This window comes from Homo sapiens, chromosome 7 (assembly GCF_000001405.40).
Source record: "Homo sapiens chromosome 7, GRCh38.p14 Primary Assembly".
NCBI classification, from domain to species: Eukaryota; Metazoa; Chordata; class Mammalia; order Primates; family Hominidae; genus Homo; species Homo sapiens.
In genome coordinates, this window is record NC_000007.14 from 123,576,068 (window position 1) to 123,596,785 (window position 20,718).

General features: G+C 36.0%; 2 protein-coding genes across 4 annotated transcripts in view, besides 1 other annotated feature; one reads left to right on the top strand and one right to left on the bottom strand.

Annotated features, from left to right (window-relative positions):
• Positions 1-20,718, bottom strand: part of NDUFA5 (NADH:ubiquinone oxidoreductase subunit A5) — a 64,655-nt gene that overhangs the window by 39,071 nt on the left and 4,866 nt on the right. Inside the window, exons 2-3 of one of the 2 annotated variants that reach the window (NR_111926.1) lie at positions 20,285-20,371; positions 8,894-8,933 (exon numbers count right to left, since the gene is read on the bottom strand). Coding sequence is in view for 1 of the 2 variants with exons in the window: in NM_001291304.2 (NP_001278233.1) it covers positions 5,894-6,014; positions 20,285-20,369 (206 nt within the window). In the remaining variant the exon portion in view is untranslated. Of the gene's footprint in view, positions 1-5,893; positions 6,015-8,893; positions 8,934-20,284; positions 20,372-20,718 lie in introns of both variants that reach the window. The other variant, NM_001291304.2, reaches the window with a different exon arrangement.
• ASB15 (ankyrin repeat and SOCS box containing 15) overlaps positions 1-20,718 on the top strand; it is a 72,474-nt gene that overhangs the window by 9,060 nt on the left and 42,696 nt on the right. The gene's annotated exons all lie outside the window — the stretch shown is intronic.
• Positions 18,708-19,002: an enhancer, noted in NCBI's record as "tiled region #8884; HepG2 Activating non-DNase unmatched - State 12:CtcfO". NCBI's record gives its function as "activates a minimal TATA promoter and a strong SV40 promoter by Sharpr-MPRA in HepG2 cells {active_cell/tissue: HepG2}" and the evidence as "EXISTENCE:reporter gene assay evidence [ECO:0000049][PMID:27701403]".

The window sequence follows — 20,718 nt, forward strand, 5'->3', positions numbered from 1 at the left end:
ATATAAATATATAGATATATAGGAATATGCTTTATTATCCTTAAGACTTTCTTTATTTCAATTTTATTTTATTTTATTTTCTTATTTTCATCTTCTATATTTTTTATGGTCCTGTAATCCTTCAAATTTGATTTTCACTTTTGTGACTAGTTTATTTTCTTCTTTTCTGAGTTTGCAGCTTTAATTTGATCTTCCTCTATTTTATTTGCATCTCTTTATTGAGTTTTTGCATTTGTACTTTTTACTCTTTTTTATATATGAAGTTGTGTTTTTTGTTGTTGTTGTTTTAATTAATGGTAAAATATATGATCATAATTTTCATCTGTTCAATGGCAACATTTTCCATGTGTGTGTGATTCATACGTTGAAAAGTTTTGCTTTTTTCTATATTTTTCATAGTGTCTTTATATTTGTGCCATAGGAATTTCATGTTTATTTCTCACTTTAAAATAAGTTGGATTTTCCTTGGCCAACTATGTCTAAGTGATAACAAAGGGACTGCTTCCCATAGCTGTCACTCATCTATGGGATTCTCTGTGTAGCTCCACATCCTCGGCTTCTCTGAGCCAAATTAGATCCAAGAAGACTTGTACCACCACCTTGCTCTCTTTAGTTCCTGCACGGAATGCTGCAGTAAAAGAAAACAGCTTTTACTACACACTTCACTGTGAAGATGAGTTCTTCACCTTTAGAAAGTATATTTTTGTGGCATGTCTAAGATCTGCTGCCACTAGGTTTTCTCACCACTCTGTACTTTTACTAGTCCTTGCATTTCTTGCAGGGTCTGCTGGTTACATTATTCCAGTTTTGTGAAAATGGAATTTATGTTTTCTATTACTTTATTCTTCTTGTCATTCTCCGTGTTGCTTATGCACAAATTTTCAGGAGGAAAAAGAGAAAGATGTCAACTTTTGCAGCCGTGGTCAAACAAGAAGACTTCCTGTTATCTATTTTAATATGGAAATTATTCTCTTATTGATATCATGTAAGACAACATTTGTAGTTATAAAAATATCTTTTACATAACCACCTCCTACTTAATAAACTGAAGTCTCTGTCTTTTTCATATTATTTGTATACCTACATGACTGATGTTTTGAACTTAGATGTAAAGGTTTACTATATCATTGATATCTTCCATTGTTGAGTTTTTCCCATTATTGCAGGATATGGCCATGATTTTGCATTTTATTACAAAAATAATAATTGTGCTATGTGTTATTTTGGTGAATGTTATTCATTCTTATTCGATACTGAGAAGAACTGTCACTTGTCTTGAACAAGCACTATGTTTTACATAAAATGCTTCTGTAACTGGCCCAGTTTCCCTTCCTTTAACAGCTGTTAGAATATAACAATCACATTTTTCATTCACTTAAGATAACTGAACACATCACAATGACATTTGCTTTTATTATAGCTTCAGTTTTTATTCAGATCGACTTTAATTAATTTCATTTTGTCATACCTTATTTAACATTGTAAGTCAAATTAAATTCTTTCTGCCAGAATTCTCTTCTTCTCAGGTTTTGAAAACTCCAAAATGTGGTCCTCTTAGAAATTGATCAAAAATGGTAATAAACATAGCAAACATGTTGAACAATACAGAGTCAAACTGACATCAATCCGTTATTAGATTTTCTTTGGATATGGTTATGCAAACAGTTTTAAATCCACTAACTGTTCTCCATCCAGCTCATGTTTCTTCATCTTATCCCCAGGGTTGCAAGGACAGTTTCTATCAAAGACATTCTAGACATCATGTTCTTTGTTTATGAGTGTTCCTTTTGAAAAAATATCAAGCGTAGTCTTTGCATGTAGAAATTACTTTTTTAAAAATTATACTTTAAGTTCCGGGATACGTGTGCAGAATGTGCAGTTTTGTTACATAGGTATACACGTGCCATGGTGATTTGCTGCACCCATCAACCCATCACCTACATTAAGTATTTCTCCTAATGTTATCCCTCCCCTAGCCCCCCACCCCATGACAGGCCCCGGTGTGTGAAGTTCCCCTCCCTGTGTCCATGTGTTCTCATTGTTCAACTTAAATGTTGAATGAATAAAAGGACAAATGAATAGTAAAATAAATTTCAAATTATAAAAGTTATTCGTAACCCATACTAGATCATCTATTACTGTTTTCACTATTCACAAGCTACCTGCTGATATTTTGTATCAGTTGGAAAAAAAATGACAAAATTCATCTAAAGCCTCTTGGTCCCTCTTTCATTCTCTATGTTGCTCAAAAATTACCAGCAGTATTCCTGTGACTAGAACTCTGTTTTTTAGCCTCTAGGAAGTAATTTGCCTTGGCCTAAACATCTGTCATTTTAGTGTTTGCCATTTGTCCAGACTGTGAACATACCCCTCTTTCCTCCTTCTACTTATTTTTCTGGAACTTTGTTTCCTCTATACTTTTAGTACTTGCTTTTTTATTCATTCACTTATTTATCTGTGCAAGCTCAGTTAATTTCAGGCATTTGCTTTTCTAACTATTATCACCAGACTGATATTTTTCCTTATTATGGAGACCTTTGCCAATTTTTGTATATACTCTTTTAATATCTGAGCTAATGAGAGAGATTGCTGTTTACCACAGCAATTTCATTCAATAGCTTAGTCTTTTCTTTCTCAGGGAGACATTGAATGCACGGTTAGAATTTTATGTGCTAAAGTCCACCTTCCTCTTATAGATTCAGGCTACTGAATCATTGCTATCTTTAAACTATTTTATAAAGTCTTATTTCCCCTATTTTTGTCAATCTATTTGAAATAACTAGTTCTGTTTGTCTTCATTAACATAAACCTATGACAATGTAATTTACATGCAAGGTATTTTATTTTATTTTATTTTAGATTCGGGTGGTACATATGCAGGTTTGTTACATGGATATTGTATAATGCTGGGGTTTGGGCTTCTATTGAACCCAACAGCCAAATAGTGATTGTAGTACTAATAGGTGGTTTTTCAACCTTTGCCCCTCTCGCTCCCTCCTTCCTCCCTTTTGGTGTCCTCAGTGTCTATTGTATCCATCTTTATGTCCACGTATATCATTGTTTAACTCCTACAAATATGCAGTACTTGATTTTATGTTTCTGTATTAATTCACTTAGGGTAATGGCCTCCAGCTGTATCCATGTTGCTGAAAAGGACATGATTTCATTCTTTTTATGGCTGTGTAGTATTTCATGGTGTAGATATACTACATTTTCTTTATAAGTGTAATTGGGAAAATTTTAGATAAAAATACTTTCTTAGTTATAGTTAAAAATAAGGATCTTAGATTTACATTTTCAGTGAATAACTATTGTTAAATTTGTTTTGCTATGTACTCACTGTAGAGGTTACAATAGTTATATGTTTGTTCTATGAATTCTTTTGTATTACCAGTTCACTTCCATGCAAAGTAAACTCTCTATAAATAGTCTCAAAAATACCATGAAGAGTTGTTCTGATTTCTTTTCTCTCTATTATCTGCCCCACTGTAGCCTGAGGGCTTAATAGATAATTGCAGTCAAAATGAAAGTTAAAACTTAATTTAGAACAAGTTTGCAACATGCCTGGTACCTTGGGATTTGCAAATCTATAACTCCTTCTGCTCCTGGGAGTTGAGTTAATTTGGCAAATCACACTAACTCAATTTTCACTAGGTCTTTATTAGAAACAAATCTATTATGCTATAGAATGCATTGTGGATTTGGCTTAAGACTCCCAGCTTGTCATTATTCAATATTATGAAATTCCTATTTAGACATTTAGTTTAAGTGAGAACATAAAGCATATAATAAAACTGCAGGTTTCTCTTGCCATTGTTTAGGTCTCTAGGTTTTCAATTTAATTCTCATTTATTGAATGGCCACATTGTCCAAAGCCTGTTACACCTCCTGTCCTTAAAAAAGTTACAATAAATCCTGATGTAACAAAGGTACATAAATAATTACTATGTAAGGCAAACAAAATAAATATGATAGGGAAATAAAGGAGGAAAAGAGATTGGCGGGATTAGAAAAATTCATGGAGATGGAGAAGGATGGTCTAAATTGGGTCTTAAATTAGCAGAAGGATTTCTACTGAAGGAAATGGGGGAGTGGCAAGAAAGGGCATTTGAAAGGACAAGATGAACAAGAACCCAGCGAAAGGATGCGTTTTGCCTGTTCAGAGAGCAAACAGGAGTTATGCTAAGGTGGCAGATGAAGTCCTCAGGTGCATGGCAGGCCGTTCTCTGTTGCACTGCTTTTTACATTTTTGGCTTTGCTTGTTAAGTTTTTGGTTTGAGTTGCTTGAGTCAGTGAGTGAAGCAGTCATCACAATCAAACTTGCTAGGCACAGGAGAGGCTTTGAGCTTGCCTCTGCTGTGAGCCACTTGACCAAAAACTGCTCAGGGTAGTTATGTGGCCTTAGGCAATTTTACTTAACCCCCTAAGCCTTACTTCTTCCTTGAAAAATGGTCACAATAATATGACACCTACTTTGCAAGAATGCCATGAGGTTAAATGAGATAATGCATATGAAAACCCAGAACTGCATCATATGGCACCTTTGTGCAGTTTGGAAAATTTTGATCATCTCTCCAAGTGAATGCAACCCTTCTCTAGGGCACCCATGTGGGTGAGTGGAGATTAAGATGGATTCCAGTCTCCCCATAACCTCACCCAAGCAACCTTGTGCAGTATACAACCTGCACAACCGTACCTGGAAGCCCTGAGATAAGGGCTTAGAGAAATGCTTAGGTATAACAAAATCTAAATAAACATAGCCATCATTATAATTATTATACCGCAAACCACTAAAAAAACGCAGTGTTGAAGCTTGGTCAGAGACCGTTCGGTTAAGTCTATTATGAAAAGAGACCAATATTAACAATGCACACCTAAGTCTCAGCAAAGAGTTCAAAATACAGAACAGGAAACCAAACCAACAGGCGTCCATTCCTGTGTGACTCTCCTTCCACTAGATGGTGCTGGCTTTCTTCAGCTTGTTGCAGTAGAACTGTCTTCCACTTAAAAATGGCTTGTATTTACGGATAATTCAGGTGGTATCTGTGTCCCACCAACCTCCTTCAGCTCTTTGCGGAGGAGGAGGTGTTTCTCTGAGAGCATGAATGTTGCTCAGGGCATGAACACCGTTCAGAGGACATGATACTTACTAGATAGTAGAAGGGTATGGGAGATCTGTAAGCCACTAAGGAGAAACTCCATTAAATTCCTAACACTTTGAATTCAAAACGAGTCTATCATCAGTAATTAATTTATCAAATAACAGCATCATTTTACTATTTGCCCTTCTTGGGCATTGTGAGAGTGTGGGAGTGAAAACAAAACATGATCATTCAAGTGAGCACTTAAAAAAAAAAAAAAAAAAGGTACTCTCCAGATACCTAGACTCCATGCCAGAGAAAGGGGATCCCATCCAACTTAAGTCCTAAGGGCACATTTTTGTTATTTCTACCTTCATCTTTTTTGATGTGTCATGTTCTAAAGACCTTGTGAGCTTTGCTACATATTAGGTTTCTGAAAAGTCTTTCGGTTAAACTGATATACATCAAATTGTGAGGAGAATTTGCTACTTAAGAAATGATTTGCTCAGAGTGAGAACACCACTCAGAGGAAATGATTCCTACTAGATAGTAGGATTGTAAAATTCTACTGGAAGTAGGCTGTAACATGAAAATTTTCTTTTATCATTGTTTAAGTCCAGCTATGAATATATCACATATGTTTGTATATTTTCTCCCTTTTTGTCACTCCCAAGACTGTCAAGTTTTGAGGAAAAGACATGAAACTTCAAGAGTACTGTTCAAAAGACTTCTGCAAACCATTTAAAACTATATAAATGAACTTTTTAGGTAAAGCAAATGGATTGACTAGCAAACTGTAAAGAGCTTTTTACCTGCACCAGCCATGAATTCTGGGGCAGAAATTGTGTACTGTTGCTCCATTTCCATTTGTGAATAGAGAACATCTTTTATTAATAGATGAAAATCTCCATCTATATTGTAATGGTAAAATATCTGCAAAACAAGGAAAGGGAGGAGAAATTGCTCAAGCTGATCATGATCTTTTCCTACCTAAAATGCTCCTGTGGCTTCTTCTTGTCTCCTGCAGTGGTTCTCAGGCCCAGACCACTTTGAGGGACAGGTTCAACCCACAGTATGTGAAGGTAACGTCCCTGTGGAAGGAAGGATGTGTGACAATGGGAGATGGGGAGGGGGGGTTGCATTACAATATCCAAAGGGAGTGAGTGCTTCAGAATGTTAAGACTCCACAGATGGCCTTTAGAGATTCTGACAAATAACACCACTACCCTAGTGCACCCCAAAGAGAAAGCCTTTTCTCATTGCCACCGTCCTGGAGGAAGAAATAAAATAAAGCCCCAAATTCTTTACTCCAGTATATAGTTCAGTATATACATATATCCTACATATTCTAACTCTTACCTAAAGCTCCTGCTCATTGTCTGTAGGTTCCTCAATGCGTTCTGTGACCAGCAAGAGTAAATGATCAGCATTCCCCCCAGATATGCCATTTTCCCTCAGATCTATGTGTATTTTCTCTGCCTGGAATGCCTCTCCCCTTATACATTATCTCGAAAACTCCTTCTTATCCTTCAAGTCTCAGCTCAAGACTTTATATCGTCTAAGGCATACTCTTGGTCCCCTCCTGGAAGCTAAGCATCACCTTCTTTTGATCATCTATTCATCCCCTCCACTGACTGAGAGTAAGAACTGCCTTCTTTAACATTTTCATTGCACCAGGCACATAGTAGCTAATAAATACATACTTGGCAAATAAATGAATGCAGTATTATTCAAAGAGGAATATACCTCATTTAGAACGCTCAGAAATGATAACTTGGTACCATGAAAGAAACTAGTGTAAATCTTGTTTTAAAAATTAATCTACTAGCCTCTATTTTAAAATTTAATTTTTATAGCAGGCAAAGAGATGGCAAGCATCACAAACAAATATTGTAGTGGAATTTGGATCTTTAAAATTATAGACTGTTCAGATGAGAGAACATAAAATGATAACATTGTAGACCTAGGTGCAGTGGCTCACTCCCGTAATACAAGCTACTTGGGAGCTGAGGCAAGAGGATTGCTTGAGGCCAGGAGTTCAAGATCAGCTGGGGCAATTATAACAACACTGTCTCTAAAAAGATAAATAAATAGATAAATAAATAAAAGACAGCACTGTAGATTCTAAAACTGAACAGGAAATCAGAGCTATTTTTGGGCCTAATTTCAACATATATCATATGAGGAGATATCATGGGAAGTGGGAACTAACGGGAAACTGGAATTGATAACCATGAAGTGTAGCAAATTTCTAAACTCCTCCAAAAGTCTTCTCTGACAGTGGGTAATACACTCTTTACCTCAACACTTGCTCATCTAGTGTTTGATGATTCTCTAAGAAAATGCAATAAAATGAGTTTTAAATTCTACTTCAATTTCTGCTATATGACATTCTCTTTATTCTAAAGTAGTTACTAGTATAAACTTTTAAAAAGCTGATTTTGATAAATCAACAACCCTTAGTCATAAAGTAAGTCAAACAAAATGAGCGAAGAAAGATTTTTTCGGAGAGAAGGCACAGGAAAGAGGAGTAACATTCCTAGACTTAGGAAATTGTATATGGGTCTTCTGATCCTTAAGCATAAGAACACTGTCTCTTTTCCTCATAACATCTTCATAATATACTGAGAAGCAAAGTAGAGGGGGGACAAGATGGAAAACCAGGAAAGGAAGTGTAGCCAGTTAGTGAGATGATTCCACAATAAAAAACCAAACCTAAAGTTTGCCAAATCCAATGGTCAGTTCTCTGTCCTCATCTTACTTGACTTAGCAGCAGAATTTGATACAGTCGATCACTCCTTTCGGCTGTAAATATTTTTCTTCCCTTGGCTTGTATTCTGTCTCATAGCTCTGGTTAGCCCCGGAGTTCATCCCTTAAACATCTCTATTTTTATATGTGCATGTACTGCTTTGGTGAGCTCTTCTAGCCACACGGTTTTAAGTATCACTAATTTATTTCTTCAGCTCAGACTTTTCTTCTAAACTTGGACCATATTAACCTGCCTACTTAACCTTTCTTGTTAGACTTTGATAGGTATCTCAAATTTTACATGATCCAAACTGAGTTCCAGGAGGATCACTGAAGCCCAGGTAATCAAGGCTGCAGTGAGCTATGATCGTGCCACTGCACTCAGCCTGTGTGACACAGAAAGGCCTTGTCAAAAAAAAAAAAAAAAAAAAAGTAAGAGAAAAAGAAAGAAGTTTTAATGTCCTGATGCACAGAAATTAGAGTATCTGAGGGAGGCGGCTAGGCATCAGTGTTTTCTAAAGCTCCCCAGGTGATTCCAATGCAAGTCAAACCTAAGAACAACTGCTCTATGGAAGTCACACTTAAGAGTTTACATACTAACATCTTGTTCTAAATGTTTCTTAGTAGAATCTATCTTTTCTCCCTGTAATAGATTAGTATAATATTTCTTATAAGGTTTTCAACCACTCAACATGACAGCATTTTGTACAGAAAGCAAGAAAATCAACCTAAAATCATTAGAACAAATAGGAATTCTAAAATGCAGCTGAATAAAAATAAATATACAAAGACTGTTAGCTTTCAATGTGCCAGAATAACCAGGGGAAACAATTCTATTCACGAAGAAATAAAAATCACAAACTATTGAAGAATAAATATGTCAGGAATATTCAAGACTTCAGTAAAACTATGAAACTTTCCATTAGTTCAAAAGAAAAGTTTTGAATAAATTAAGACATATTTTCCTGGGTGAGAGTCAATATTTTAAATATGTAAAAATATTGAACATATTTGTCAAAATAAGTTCATTCTTCCCAAAGGGATCTTTTCTTAGTGCACTTACAGTCACAATTCCATTTTGACTAGATGATTCTAAGAGTCACCTGAAAGAAACAATGAGTGAAATCAAAATATTTTTAAAAGGAAAATTACGAGGAAAGATCTTCCCTCCCAAATAAAAATAATGTGAAACCAGTAAAGGAAAAGACCAATATACGTATGTGTTAGCATTTCCATGACTTTGTTATTCAGTTGTAAAATATAATTATCTGAACAAAGAATTCAAATAATCTTGCATTTGAATTTTGTACCAATCCCCCTCTTAGAAATTAATTTTTAAATTTCTGAAAATTGAAAAATTTGTTGTTTCTTAAAAATAAACTGTTTAACTGTTAAATTGTTAAAGAAACAAGCAAATTTATCCAAGCAGAAGAGACAACTTCCTCCCCCTATTCCCTAAACCTTAATTTAGAGCACACTAGGAGAAAGTCCTCAAACTGACACATTACATGTAGGAATGCATATGCAATATTGCTGGATTAACATCAGCACCCTTTGACCTGGATTTCTTACTTACGTTTATGCTTTACATTTTTCCAGCTTTATTGAGGTATAATTAATAAATAAAACGTGTATATACATAATGCTGCAATGTGATTGTTTGATATATTTACACATTGTGAAATGATTACCACAACCAAGCTAATTAACATATCCATCACCTTACATAGTTACTATTTGTGTGTGTGTGTGTGTGTGTGTGTGTGGTGAGAACAATTAAGCAAACTCTCTTAGCAAACTTTAAGTATACTATAAATTATCATTAACTATAGTTACCATGCTGTACATTAGATCTCTAAAACTTATAACTGAAACTCTGTTTCTATGAATTCAACGTTTTTAGATTCCACATATAAGAGATATCATGCAGTATTTGTCTTTCTGTTACTAGCTTATTTCACCTACTATAAGGTCCTCCAGTTTCATTCATGTTGTCACGAATACCAGAATTTCTTTTTTCTTAAGGTTGAGTAATCTTCCATGATAAATATATATTACATTTTCTTTATCCATTCATCCACTTATGGACACTTAGGTTAATTCCACCTCTTGCTTATTCTGAATAATGCTGCAATGAATATGGAAGTGCAAATATGTCTTTGAGATACTGATTTCAATTCCTTTAGCTATATACTAACAGGTGAGGTTGCTAGATCATATAATAGATTTATTTTAAATTTTTTGAGGAACCACCAAACTGTTTTCCATAATGGCTGTACGAATTTACTTTCCTACCAAGAGTGTACAAGACGTTTTATTTCTCCACTTCATCATCAACACTTGCTATCTTTTGACTTTTTGACAACAGCCTTCCTAACAGGTGTGAAGTGCTGTCTCTTTGTGGTTTTCATTTGCATTTCCCTAAGGATTAATGATGTTGAGGACCTTTTCACTCCTGTTGGACACTTGTATATCTTCTTTAGAAAAAATGTCTATTCAGATCCTTTGCCTGTTTTTTAATTAGGTTATTTGTTTTTTCTGTATTGAGTTGTATACATTCCTTATATATTTTGGATATATGTTTTGTAAATATTTTCTCCCTTGGTTGCATTTTCTTTCGTTGATTGTTTCCTTTGCTGTGCAGAAACTTTTAAAATTTGATTTGCTTGTACTTGTTTATTTTTGCTTTTATTGCCTGTCCTTTTGGTGTCATATCCAAAAAATTATTGCCAAGTCCATTGTCAAGTACACCTCCCCCAGCCAACCCCATTTTTCTTCTAGTAGTTTTACAGTTTCAAGTCTTAAATTTGTCTTTATTTTCAGTTAATTTTTGTATATGGTGTAAGATAAGGGTTAATTTCATATATGTGGATATCCAGTTTTCCCAACATGATTTATTGAAAAGACTATCGTTTCCTCATTGTGTATTTTTTGTGCCTTTGTCAAAGATCAGTTGATTATACATTTATGGGTTTATTTCTAGGCTCTGTGCTCTCTTTTGATGTGTCTGTTTTTATGAAAGTACTATATTGTCTTGTTTACTATATCTTTGTCTTTGTATTATAATTTGAAATCTTTGTATTATAATTTGAATTGTATTATAATTTGATGCTTTCAGCTTTGGTCTTTCTCAAGATTGATTTAGCCATTTAAGGTCTTTTTTGGTTCCATACAAATTTCAATATATTCCTCCCATTTCTGTGAAAAACATCATTGGAATTTTGGTAAGACTTGGATTGAATCTGTAGATCACTTTGTAGTGTGAACATTTTAACACTGTTAATTCTTCCAAATTCCATTTATTTGTGTCTTCTTTCAATGTCTTTCATCATTGTTTTATGTTTTTCAGTGTACTCACCTTTCACCTCCTTGGTTAAATTTACTCCCAGGTATTTTATTTTTGTAGCTATTGTATATGGGATTTTATTAAAATTTATTTTTCTGATATTTTATTGTTAGTGTATAGAAATACTACTAATTTCTGTAGGTTAATTTTGTATCCTGCAACTTTACTGTAATTGTTTATTAGTTCTAATAGTTCTTTGGTGAAGTCTTTGAGGTTTTTTTTTTATACATGGTATTATGTCATCTGCAGAGACAACTTAACTTCTTCCTTTTCTATTTGGATGCCTTTTATTTCTTTCTCTTTCCTAATTGCTCTGGTGAGAACCTCCAGTACTATATTGAATAGAAGTGACGAGAGAAGGCTTCCTTGTCTTGTTCCAGTTCTTAAAGAAAAGCTTTCAGCTTTTCACCTGTATGTTCACTGTAAGCTTGCCAAATATGACCTTTATTGTGTTGAGGTACATTCTTTCTATACCTAATTAGCTGAGAGTTTTTAATATCAAAAAAGATGTTGATATTTGTCAAATACTTTTTCTGCATCAGTTGAGATGATCATGATTTTTATCCTCTATTCTGTTAATGTGGCATATCATATTTATTGATTTACTTATGTTAAATTATACTTGCATCCCAGAGATAAATGCCACTTAACCATGGTACATAATCCTTTTAATGCACTGCTGAATTTGGTTTACTAGTATTTTGTTGAAGTTTTTGCATCTATGTTCATCAGGGATATTGCCATGTAATTTTCTTTCTTATGGTGTCCTTGTCTGGCTTTGGTATCAGGATAATGCTGGCCTTATAAAATGAGTTTGGGAGTATTCCCTCCTCTTCAACTTTTTGCAAGAGTTTGAGCAGAATTGGAATTAATGCTTTAAGTGTTTGAAAAAATTCAAAAGTGAAGGCACTAGGTTTGGGTTTCTCTTTGTAGGGAGATTTTTGATTACTGATTTAATTTCCTTTCTCATTTTGGTCTATTCAGATTTTCTGTTTCTTCATAGTTCAGTCTTGGTAGGTTGTAGGTTTCTAGCATTTGTCTATTCTTCTAGGTTATACAGTTTATTAGTGCTTAATTGTTCATTGTAGTTTCTTATAATCTTTTGTATTTCTGTATTTTTATATATGTGATTTTATTCATTTCATTTGAATCTTCTCTCTTTTTTTCTTAGTTAGGCCAGCTAAAGTTTCGTTAATTTTATCTTTTCAAAAAGCCAACTTTTGATCTTTTCTCTTGTTTGTCTTATCTCTATTTCATTTATTTTTGCTCTGATTTTCCTTTCTTTCTTTCTTTCCTTCTTTTTCTTTCTTTCCTTCTTCCTTCCTTCCTTCCTCCCTTCCTTCCTTCCTTTCTGTCTTTTTTCTACTAACTTTGGGGTTATTTTGTTTTTCTTTTTCTAGTTGTTTGAGGTATAAAGTTAGGCTATTTATTTGGGATTTTTTTTTTCTTAACATAGGTGTTTACTGCTATGCTCTTCCCTTTTAGAATTGCTTTTGCTACATCTTGCGAGTTTGGGTGTGTTCTATGTCCATTTTTGTTTGTCTCAAGAGTTTTTAAATTTCCCTTTTGATTTCTTTTTTGACCCACTGGTTTTTCATGAGTGTGTTTAATCTTCACATATTTTTTAATTTTCCCATTTTTTTTCTATTATTGGTTTCTTGTTCCATACCATTGTGGTTGGAAAAGATAATTGATATGAATTCAATCTAGTTAAATTTCTTAAGATTTCTTTAGGGCCTAACATGATCTATCCTGGAGAATATTCTATGTCCATTGATAATGTGTATTCTTCTATGTAATGTTCTGCATATGTCTGTTAGGTTCATTTAGTCTAAAGTTCAATATTTCCTTGCTGGTTTTCCTGTCTAAATAATCTTTTCATTGTTGAAAGTAGAGTATTGAAGTCCCCTACTATTATTGTCTATTTCTCCCTTCAGAACTCTTAATATTTCCTTACTATGTTTAGGTGCTCTGATGTTGGGTGCACATATAATTACAATTGTTATTTTCTCTTGATAAATTTAACCACTTCATCATTATATAATGACTTTCATCTCTTTATTATTATTATTATTATTATCATTATTATTATTATACTTTAAGTTCAAGGGTACATATGCACAATGTGGAGGTTTGTTACATAGGTATACATGTGCCATAGTGGTGTGCTGCACCCATCAACTCATCATTTACATTAGGTATTTCTCCTAACACTATCCCTCCTCCAGCCCCCCACCTCTCAACAGCCCCTGGTGTGTGATGTTCCCTTCTCTCTGTCCCTGTGTTCTCATTATTCAACTCTCACTTATGAGTGAGAATATGCTGTGTTTGGTTTTATGTCCTTGTGATATTTTGCTGAGAATGGTGGTTTCCAGCTTTATCCATGTCCCTGCAAAGGACATGAACTCATCCTTTTTTATGGCTGCATAGTATTGCATGGTGTATATGTGCCACATTTTCTTTATCCAGTCTAATATTGATGGACATTTGGGTTGATTCCAAGTCTTGCTATTGTGAAGAGGGCCACAATAAACATATGTGTGCATGTGTCTTTATAGTAGCATGATATACAATCATTCGGGTATATACCCAGTAATGGGATCGCTAAGTCAAATGGTATTTCTAGTTCCAGATCCTTGAGGAATCGCCACGCTGTCTTCCACAATTATTGAACTAATTTACACTCCCACCAACAGTGTAAAAGCGTTCCTATTTCTCCACATCCTCTCCAGCATCTGTTGTTTCCTGAATTTTTAATGATTGTCATTCTAACTGGCATGAGATGGTATCTCATTGTGGTTTTGATTTGCATTTCTCTGATGATCAGTGATGGTGAGCATTTCTTCATGTGTTTTTTGGCTGCATAAATGTCTTCTTTTGAGAAGTGTCTGTTCATGTCCTTTGCCCACTTGTTGATGGGGTTGTTTGTTTTTTTTCCTGTAAATTTGTTTAAGTTCTGTGTAGATTCTGGTTATTCACCCTTTGTCAGATGGATAGGTTGCAAAAATTTTATCCCATTCTGTAGGTTGCCCATTCACTCTGATGATAGTTTATTTTGCTGTGCAGAAGCTCTTTAGTTTAATTAGATCCCATTTGTCTATTTTGGCTTTTGTTGCCATTGCTTTTCGTGTTTTAGTCATGAAGTCTTTGCTCACGCCTATGTGCTGAATGGTATTGCCTAGGTTTTCTTCTAGGGCTTTTATGGTTTTAGGTCTTACATTTAAGTCTTTAATCCATCTTGAGTTAATGTTTTGTAGGGTGTAAGGAAGGGGTCCAGTTTCAGCTTTCTACATATGGCTAGCCAGTTTTCCCAGCACCATTTATTAAATAGGGAATCCTTTCCCCATTTCTTGTTTTTGTCAGGTTTGTCAAAGATCAGATGGTTATAGATGTGTGGTGTTATTTCTGAGGCCTCTGTTCTGTTCCATTGGTCTATATCTCTGTTTTGGTTACTGTAGCCTCATAGTATAGTTCGATGTCAGGTAGCGTGATGCCTCCAACTTTGTTCTATTTGCTTAGGATTGTCTTGGCTATGCGGGCTCCTTTTTGGTTCCATATGAACTTTAAAGTAGTTTTTTCCAATTCTGTGAACAAAGGCAGTGGTAGCTTGATGGGGAGGGCATTGAATCTATAAATTACCTTGGGCAGTATGGCCATTTTCACGATACTGATTCTTCCTATCGATGAGTATGGAATGTTCTTCCATTTGTTTGTGTCTTCTTTTATTTTATTGAGCAGTGGTTTGTAGTTCTCCTTGAAGAGGTCCTTCACGTCCCCTGTAAGGTGGATTCCTAGGTATTTTATTCTCTTTGTAGTAATTGTAAATGGGAGTTCACTCATAATTTGGCTCTCTGTTTGTCTGTTCTTGCTGTATAGGAATGCTTGTGATTTTTGCAAATTGATTTTGTATCCTGAGACTTTGCTGAAGTTGCTTATCAGCTTAAGGAGATTTTGGGCTGAGACAATGGGATTTTCTAAATATAAAATCATGTCATCTGCAAATACAGACAATTTGACTTCCTCTTTTCCTGATTGAATACCCTATATTTCTTTATCTTGCCTGATTGCCCTGGCCAGAACTTCCAATACTATGTTGAATAGGAGTGGTGAGAGAGGTCATCCTTGTCTTGTGCCAGTTTTCAAAAGGAATGCTTCCAGTTTTTGCCCACTTAGTAACATATTGGCTGTGGGTTTGTCATAAATAGCTCTTATTATTTTGAAACACATTCCATCAACATCTAGTTTATTGAGAGTTTTAACATGAAAGGCTGTTGAAGTTTGTCGAAGGCCTTTTCTGCACATATTGAGATAATCATGTGGTTTTTGTTGTTGGTTCTGTTTATGTGATGGATTACATTTATTGATTTGTGTATAATGAACCAGACTTGCATCCCAGGGATGAAGCCAACTTGATCGTGGTGGATATGCTTTTTGACGTGTTGCTGGATTCGGTTTGCCAGTGTTTTACTGAGGATTTTCACATCGATGTTCATCAGGGATATTGGCCTAAAATTATCTTTTTATATAGTGTCTCTGCCAGGCTTTGGTATCAGGATGATGCTGACCTCATAAAATGAGTTAGGGAAGATTACCTCTTTTTCTGTTGATTGAAATAGTTTCAGAAGGAATGGTACCAGCTTTTCTTTGTACCTCTGGTAGAATTTGGCTGTGAATCCTTCTGGCCCCAGACTTTTTTTTGTTGGTAGGCTATTAATTAATGCCTCAATTTCAGGACCTGTTATTGGTCTATTCAGAGATTCAACTTTTTCCTGGTTTAGTCTTGGGAGGGTGTATGTGTCCAGGAATTTATCCATTTCTTCTAGATATTTTAGTTTATTTCTGTAGAGGTGTTTATAGTATTCTGATAGTAGTTTGTATTTCTGTGGGATCAGTGGTGATATCCCCTTTATCATTTTTTATTGCATCTATTTGATTCTTATCTCTTTTCTTCTTTATTAGTCTTGCTAGCTGTCTATCTATTTTGTTGATCTTTTCAAAAAACCACCTCTTGGATTCATTGATTTTTTGTGTCTCTGTCTCATTCAGTTCTGCTCCGATCTTAGTTATTTCTTGTCTTCTGCTAGCTTTTGAATTTGTTTCTCTTGCTTCTCTAGTTCTTTTAATTGTGATGTTAGGGTGATTATTTTAGATCTTTCCTGCTTTCTCTTGTGGGCATTTAGTGCTATAAATTTCCCTCCACACACTGCTTTAAATGTATCCCAGAGATTCTGGTACGTTGTGTCTTTGTTCTCATTGATTTCAAAGAACATCTTCATTTCTGCCTTCATTTTGTTATGTACCCAGTAGTCACTCAGGAGCAGGTTGTTCAGTTTCCATGCAGTTGTGCAGTTTGGAGTGAGTTTCTTAATCCTTATTTCTAATTTGATTGCACTGTGGTCTGAGAGACCGTTTGTTGCGATTTCTGTTCTTTTACATTTGCTGAGGAGTGTTTTACTTCCAATTTTTTGGTCAATTTCGGAATAAGTGCGATGTGGTGCTGAGAAGAATGTATATTCTGTTGATTTGGGGTGGAGAGTTCTGTAGATGTGCATTACGTCTGAATTCAAGTCCTGGATATCCTTGTTAATTTTCTGTCTCATTGATCTGTCCAATATTGACAGTGCGGTATTAAAGTCTTCCATTATTATTGTGTGGGAGTCTAAGTCTCTTTGTAGTTCTCTAAGGACTTATTTTATGAATCTCGGTGCTCCTGTATTGGGTGCATATATATTTAGGATAGTTAGTTCTTCCTGTTGAATTGATCCCTTTACCATTATGTAATGGTTTTCTTTGTCTCTTTTGATCTTTGTTGGTTTAAAGTTTGTTTTATCAGAGACCAGGATTGCAGCCCCTGCTTTTTTTTTACTTTCCATTTGTTTGGTAGATCTTACTCCAACCCTTTATTTTGAGCCTATGTGTGTCTTTGCATGTGAGATGGGTCTCCTGAATATAGCACACAGATGGGTCTTGACTTTTTATCCAATTTGCCAGTCTGTGTCTTGTAATTGGGGCATTTAGCCTGTTTACATTTAAGGTTAATATTGTTATGTGTGAGTTTGATCCTGCCATTATAATGTTAGCTGGTTATTTTGCCCGTTAATTGATGCAGTTTCTTCACAGCCTCGATGGTCTTTATAATTTGGCATGTTTTTGCAGTGGCTGGTACCCGTTGTTCCTTTCCATGTTTAGTGCTTCCTTCAGGAGCTCTTGTAAGGCAGGCCTGGTGTGACAAAATCTCTCAGCATTTACTTGTCTATAAAGGATTTTATTTCTCCTTCACTTACAAAGCTTAGTTTGGCTGGATATGAAATTCTGGGTTGAAAATTCTTTTTTTTTCTTTAAGAATGTTGAATACTTGGCCCCCACTCTCTTCTGGCTTGTAGGGTTTCTGCCAAGAGATCCACTGTTAAGTCTGATGGGCTTCTCTTTGTGGGTAACCTGACCTTTCTCTCTGGCTGCCCTTAACATTTTTTCCTTCATTTCAACCTTGGTGAATCTGAACACTTATGTGTCTTGGGGTTGCTCTTCTCGAGGAATAGCTTTGTGGCGTTCTCTGTATTTCCTGAATTTGAAAGTTGGCCTGCCTTGCTAGGTTGGGGAAGTTCTCCTGGATAATAGCCTGAAGAGTGTTTTCTAACTTGGTTCAATTCTCCCCGTCACTTTCAGGTACACCAATCAAACATAGATTTGGTCTTTTCACATAGTCCCATATTTCTTGGAGGCTTTGTTCATTTCTTTTCACTCTTTTTTCTCTAATCTTGTCTTCTCGCTTTATTTCACTAATTTGATCATCAATCACGATATCCCTTCTTCTGCTTGATCAAATCAGCTACTGAAGCTTGTGTATGCTTCATGCAGTTCTCGTACTGTGGTTTTCAGCTCCATCAGGTCATTTAAGCTCTTCTCTACACTGCTTATTCTAGTTTGCCATTCCTCTAACCTTTTTTCAAGGTTTTTAGCTTCCTTGCAATGGGTTAGAACATGCTTCTTTAGCTCAGAGAAGTTTGTTATTACCGACTTCTGAGGCCTACTTCTGTCAACTCGTCAAACTCATTCTCTGTCCAGTTTTGTTCCCTTGCTGGCAAGGAGTTGTGTTCCTTTGGAGGAGAAGAGGCATTCTGCTTTTTGGAATTTTCAGCCTTTCTGCTCTGGTTTCTCCCCATCTTTGTGGTTTCATTTGCCTTTGGTCTTTGTTGTTGGTGACCTACGTATGGGGTTTTGGTGTGGATGTCCTTTTTGTTGATGTTGATGCTATTCCTTTCTGTTTGTTAGTTTTCCTTCTAACAGACAGGCCCCTCAGCTGCAAGTCTGTTGGAGTTTGCTGGAGGTCCACTCCAGACCCTGTTTGCCTAGGTATCACCAGCAGAAGCTGCAGAACAGCAAATATTGCTGCCTGATCCATCCTCTGGAAGCTTCGTCCCAGAGGGTCACCTGCCTGTATGAGGTGTCTGTCAGCCCCTACTGGGAGGAGTCTCCCTGTCAGGCTACACGGGGGTCAGGGACCCACTTAAGGAGGCAGTCTGTCCATTATTGGATCTCAAATGCCATGCTGGGAGAACCACTGCTCTCTTCAGAGCTGTCAGGCAGGGACGTTTAAGCCTGCAGAAGCTGTCTGCTGCCTTTTGTTCAGATAGGCCCTGCCCCCAGAGGTGGAATCAAGAGAGGCAGTAGGCCTTGCTGAGCAGCCGTGTGCTCCACCCAGTTCGAGCTTCCCTGCCGCTTTGTTTACACTGTGAGCATAAAACCGCCTACTCAAGCCTCAGCAATGGCAGATGCCCCTCCACCCGCCAAGCTCCAGCATCCCAGGTCGATCTCAGACTGCTGCACTAGCAGCAAGCAAGGCTCCGTGGACGTGGAACTCGCTGAGCCAGGCATGGGAGGCCTAAATGACACTTATCCTAAATGACACTTGCCCTAAATGACACTGATCACTGTTTAAAAATAAGCCAGATTATTAGTCCCTAACTTAAAGCCATTCAATTCATGTGCTTGTAATAAAACCCAAGCTTTTATCCATGGCCCACCTCCCATCCCTACCATCCCTTGATGATCTTCACTTTCATTTGTTCTCTGGTTGATCCCTTCAACATGGCACATCCTTTTTGCCTCATGACAAAAAGTAAAATTAAACTTACATTTCATCTTCCTAAAAGTTTGTCCTCTATACCTTTCTGTGTCGGGTTATTCTTTGTGAAAGTTCTCAGCACAGATGTGTTCCCTCTCAGACTATCCTTTCTGAAGGAAGCCTCCCCACTTCAATGACCAACTATCGTCATGCTTATTTTCTTCACAGAGTTTACCACAATTCATTTTCTTACTTATGTAACATTCACCTCACCTACTTAAATACAAACTTTTCAGTGACAGGAACTTGATATAGCTCATTGGCATACCTAGTGCACAGCATAATACCTGGCATTGCAGATGGTCAATATTTGTTAAATACTGCACTGGTGAGAATCCCACATTCATCTACTTCTCTGGATCCTACCATTCTTGACTTTGTAAATGCTCTTTAGCTAGTGAGCCAATTCACTATCATTTCCCACCCAAAGCCCCCTTGAAAGTATTTGTCTACACTGTGGGTGAATGGGCCATATCTTCAAGACTGGAAAATTACCCAGACATTCCAAGCTGCATAAAAACAGCTTAACCAAACCTCAAAACTCAATCTGATTTAATACTTTTTATATTAATGTATACATAAAGGAAATGTAAAATTTTGCTTTATTTGAATGGTAATTACATTTTAAATCTTGAAATCAAGCCATAACTAAGCCAAATATGTAGTAAATACTTTGGGAATATTCAGAATATTTTTTCTCAGTACTTATACTGTTCTACTAAAGATAAATCTAAAACTAGCATAAATCATCACACTTTTTCTAGTTTCCCAAAGGAATTACTAAATTTACCTCTTATATTGGAAAAAAAAATTGGGGGGAGGCAAATCATGAGACCATTAAAAATTGTTTTAACATACACAAAGTGGTGGCTCCAATTTGAAATATAAAGACCTGAATCCACAAGAGGCAAGAGTGACATCTTTTAATGGTAGAAAGGATGGATTTACATTGAAATATTTAGGCCAGGTGCAGTGGCTCATACCTGTGATCCCAACACTTTGAAGGGTGGGTAGATTGCTCGAACTCAGGAGTTTGAAACCAGCCTGGACAACAAGGTCAAACCCCATCTCTACAAAAGAAATAAAAAAAAAAATTAGCCAGATGTGGTGGTGCATGCCTGTGGTCCCAGCTGCTCAGGAGGCTGATGCGAGATGATTACTTGAGCCTGGGAGGCGGAGGTTGCTGTGAACCAAGATCGTACCAGTGCACTCCAGGCTAAGTGACAGAGGGAGACCCTGTCTCAAAATAATAATAGTAATAATAAGGAAAAAATAAAGAAAGAGAAAAAGAAAAATTTGAATTTATTGTGCTAAGTTTTCTTCGTTAAATTTATATAATTTCTTCTATAGTATGTACTGTTAAAATGCTTTTTACAATCAAATATTAATTAAATGTCATTACGCATTAGCAACTTCA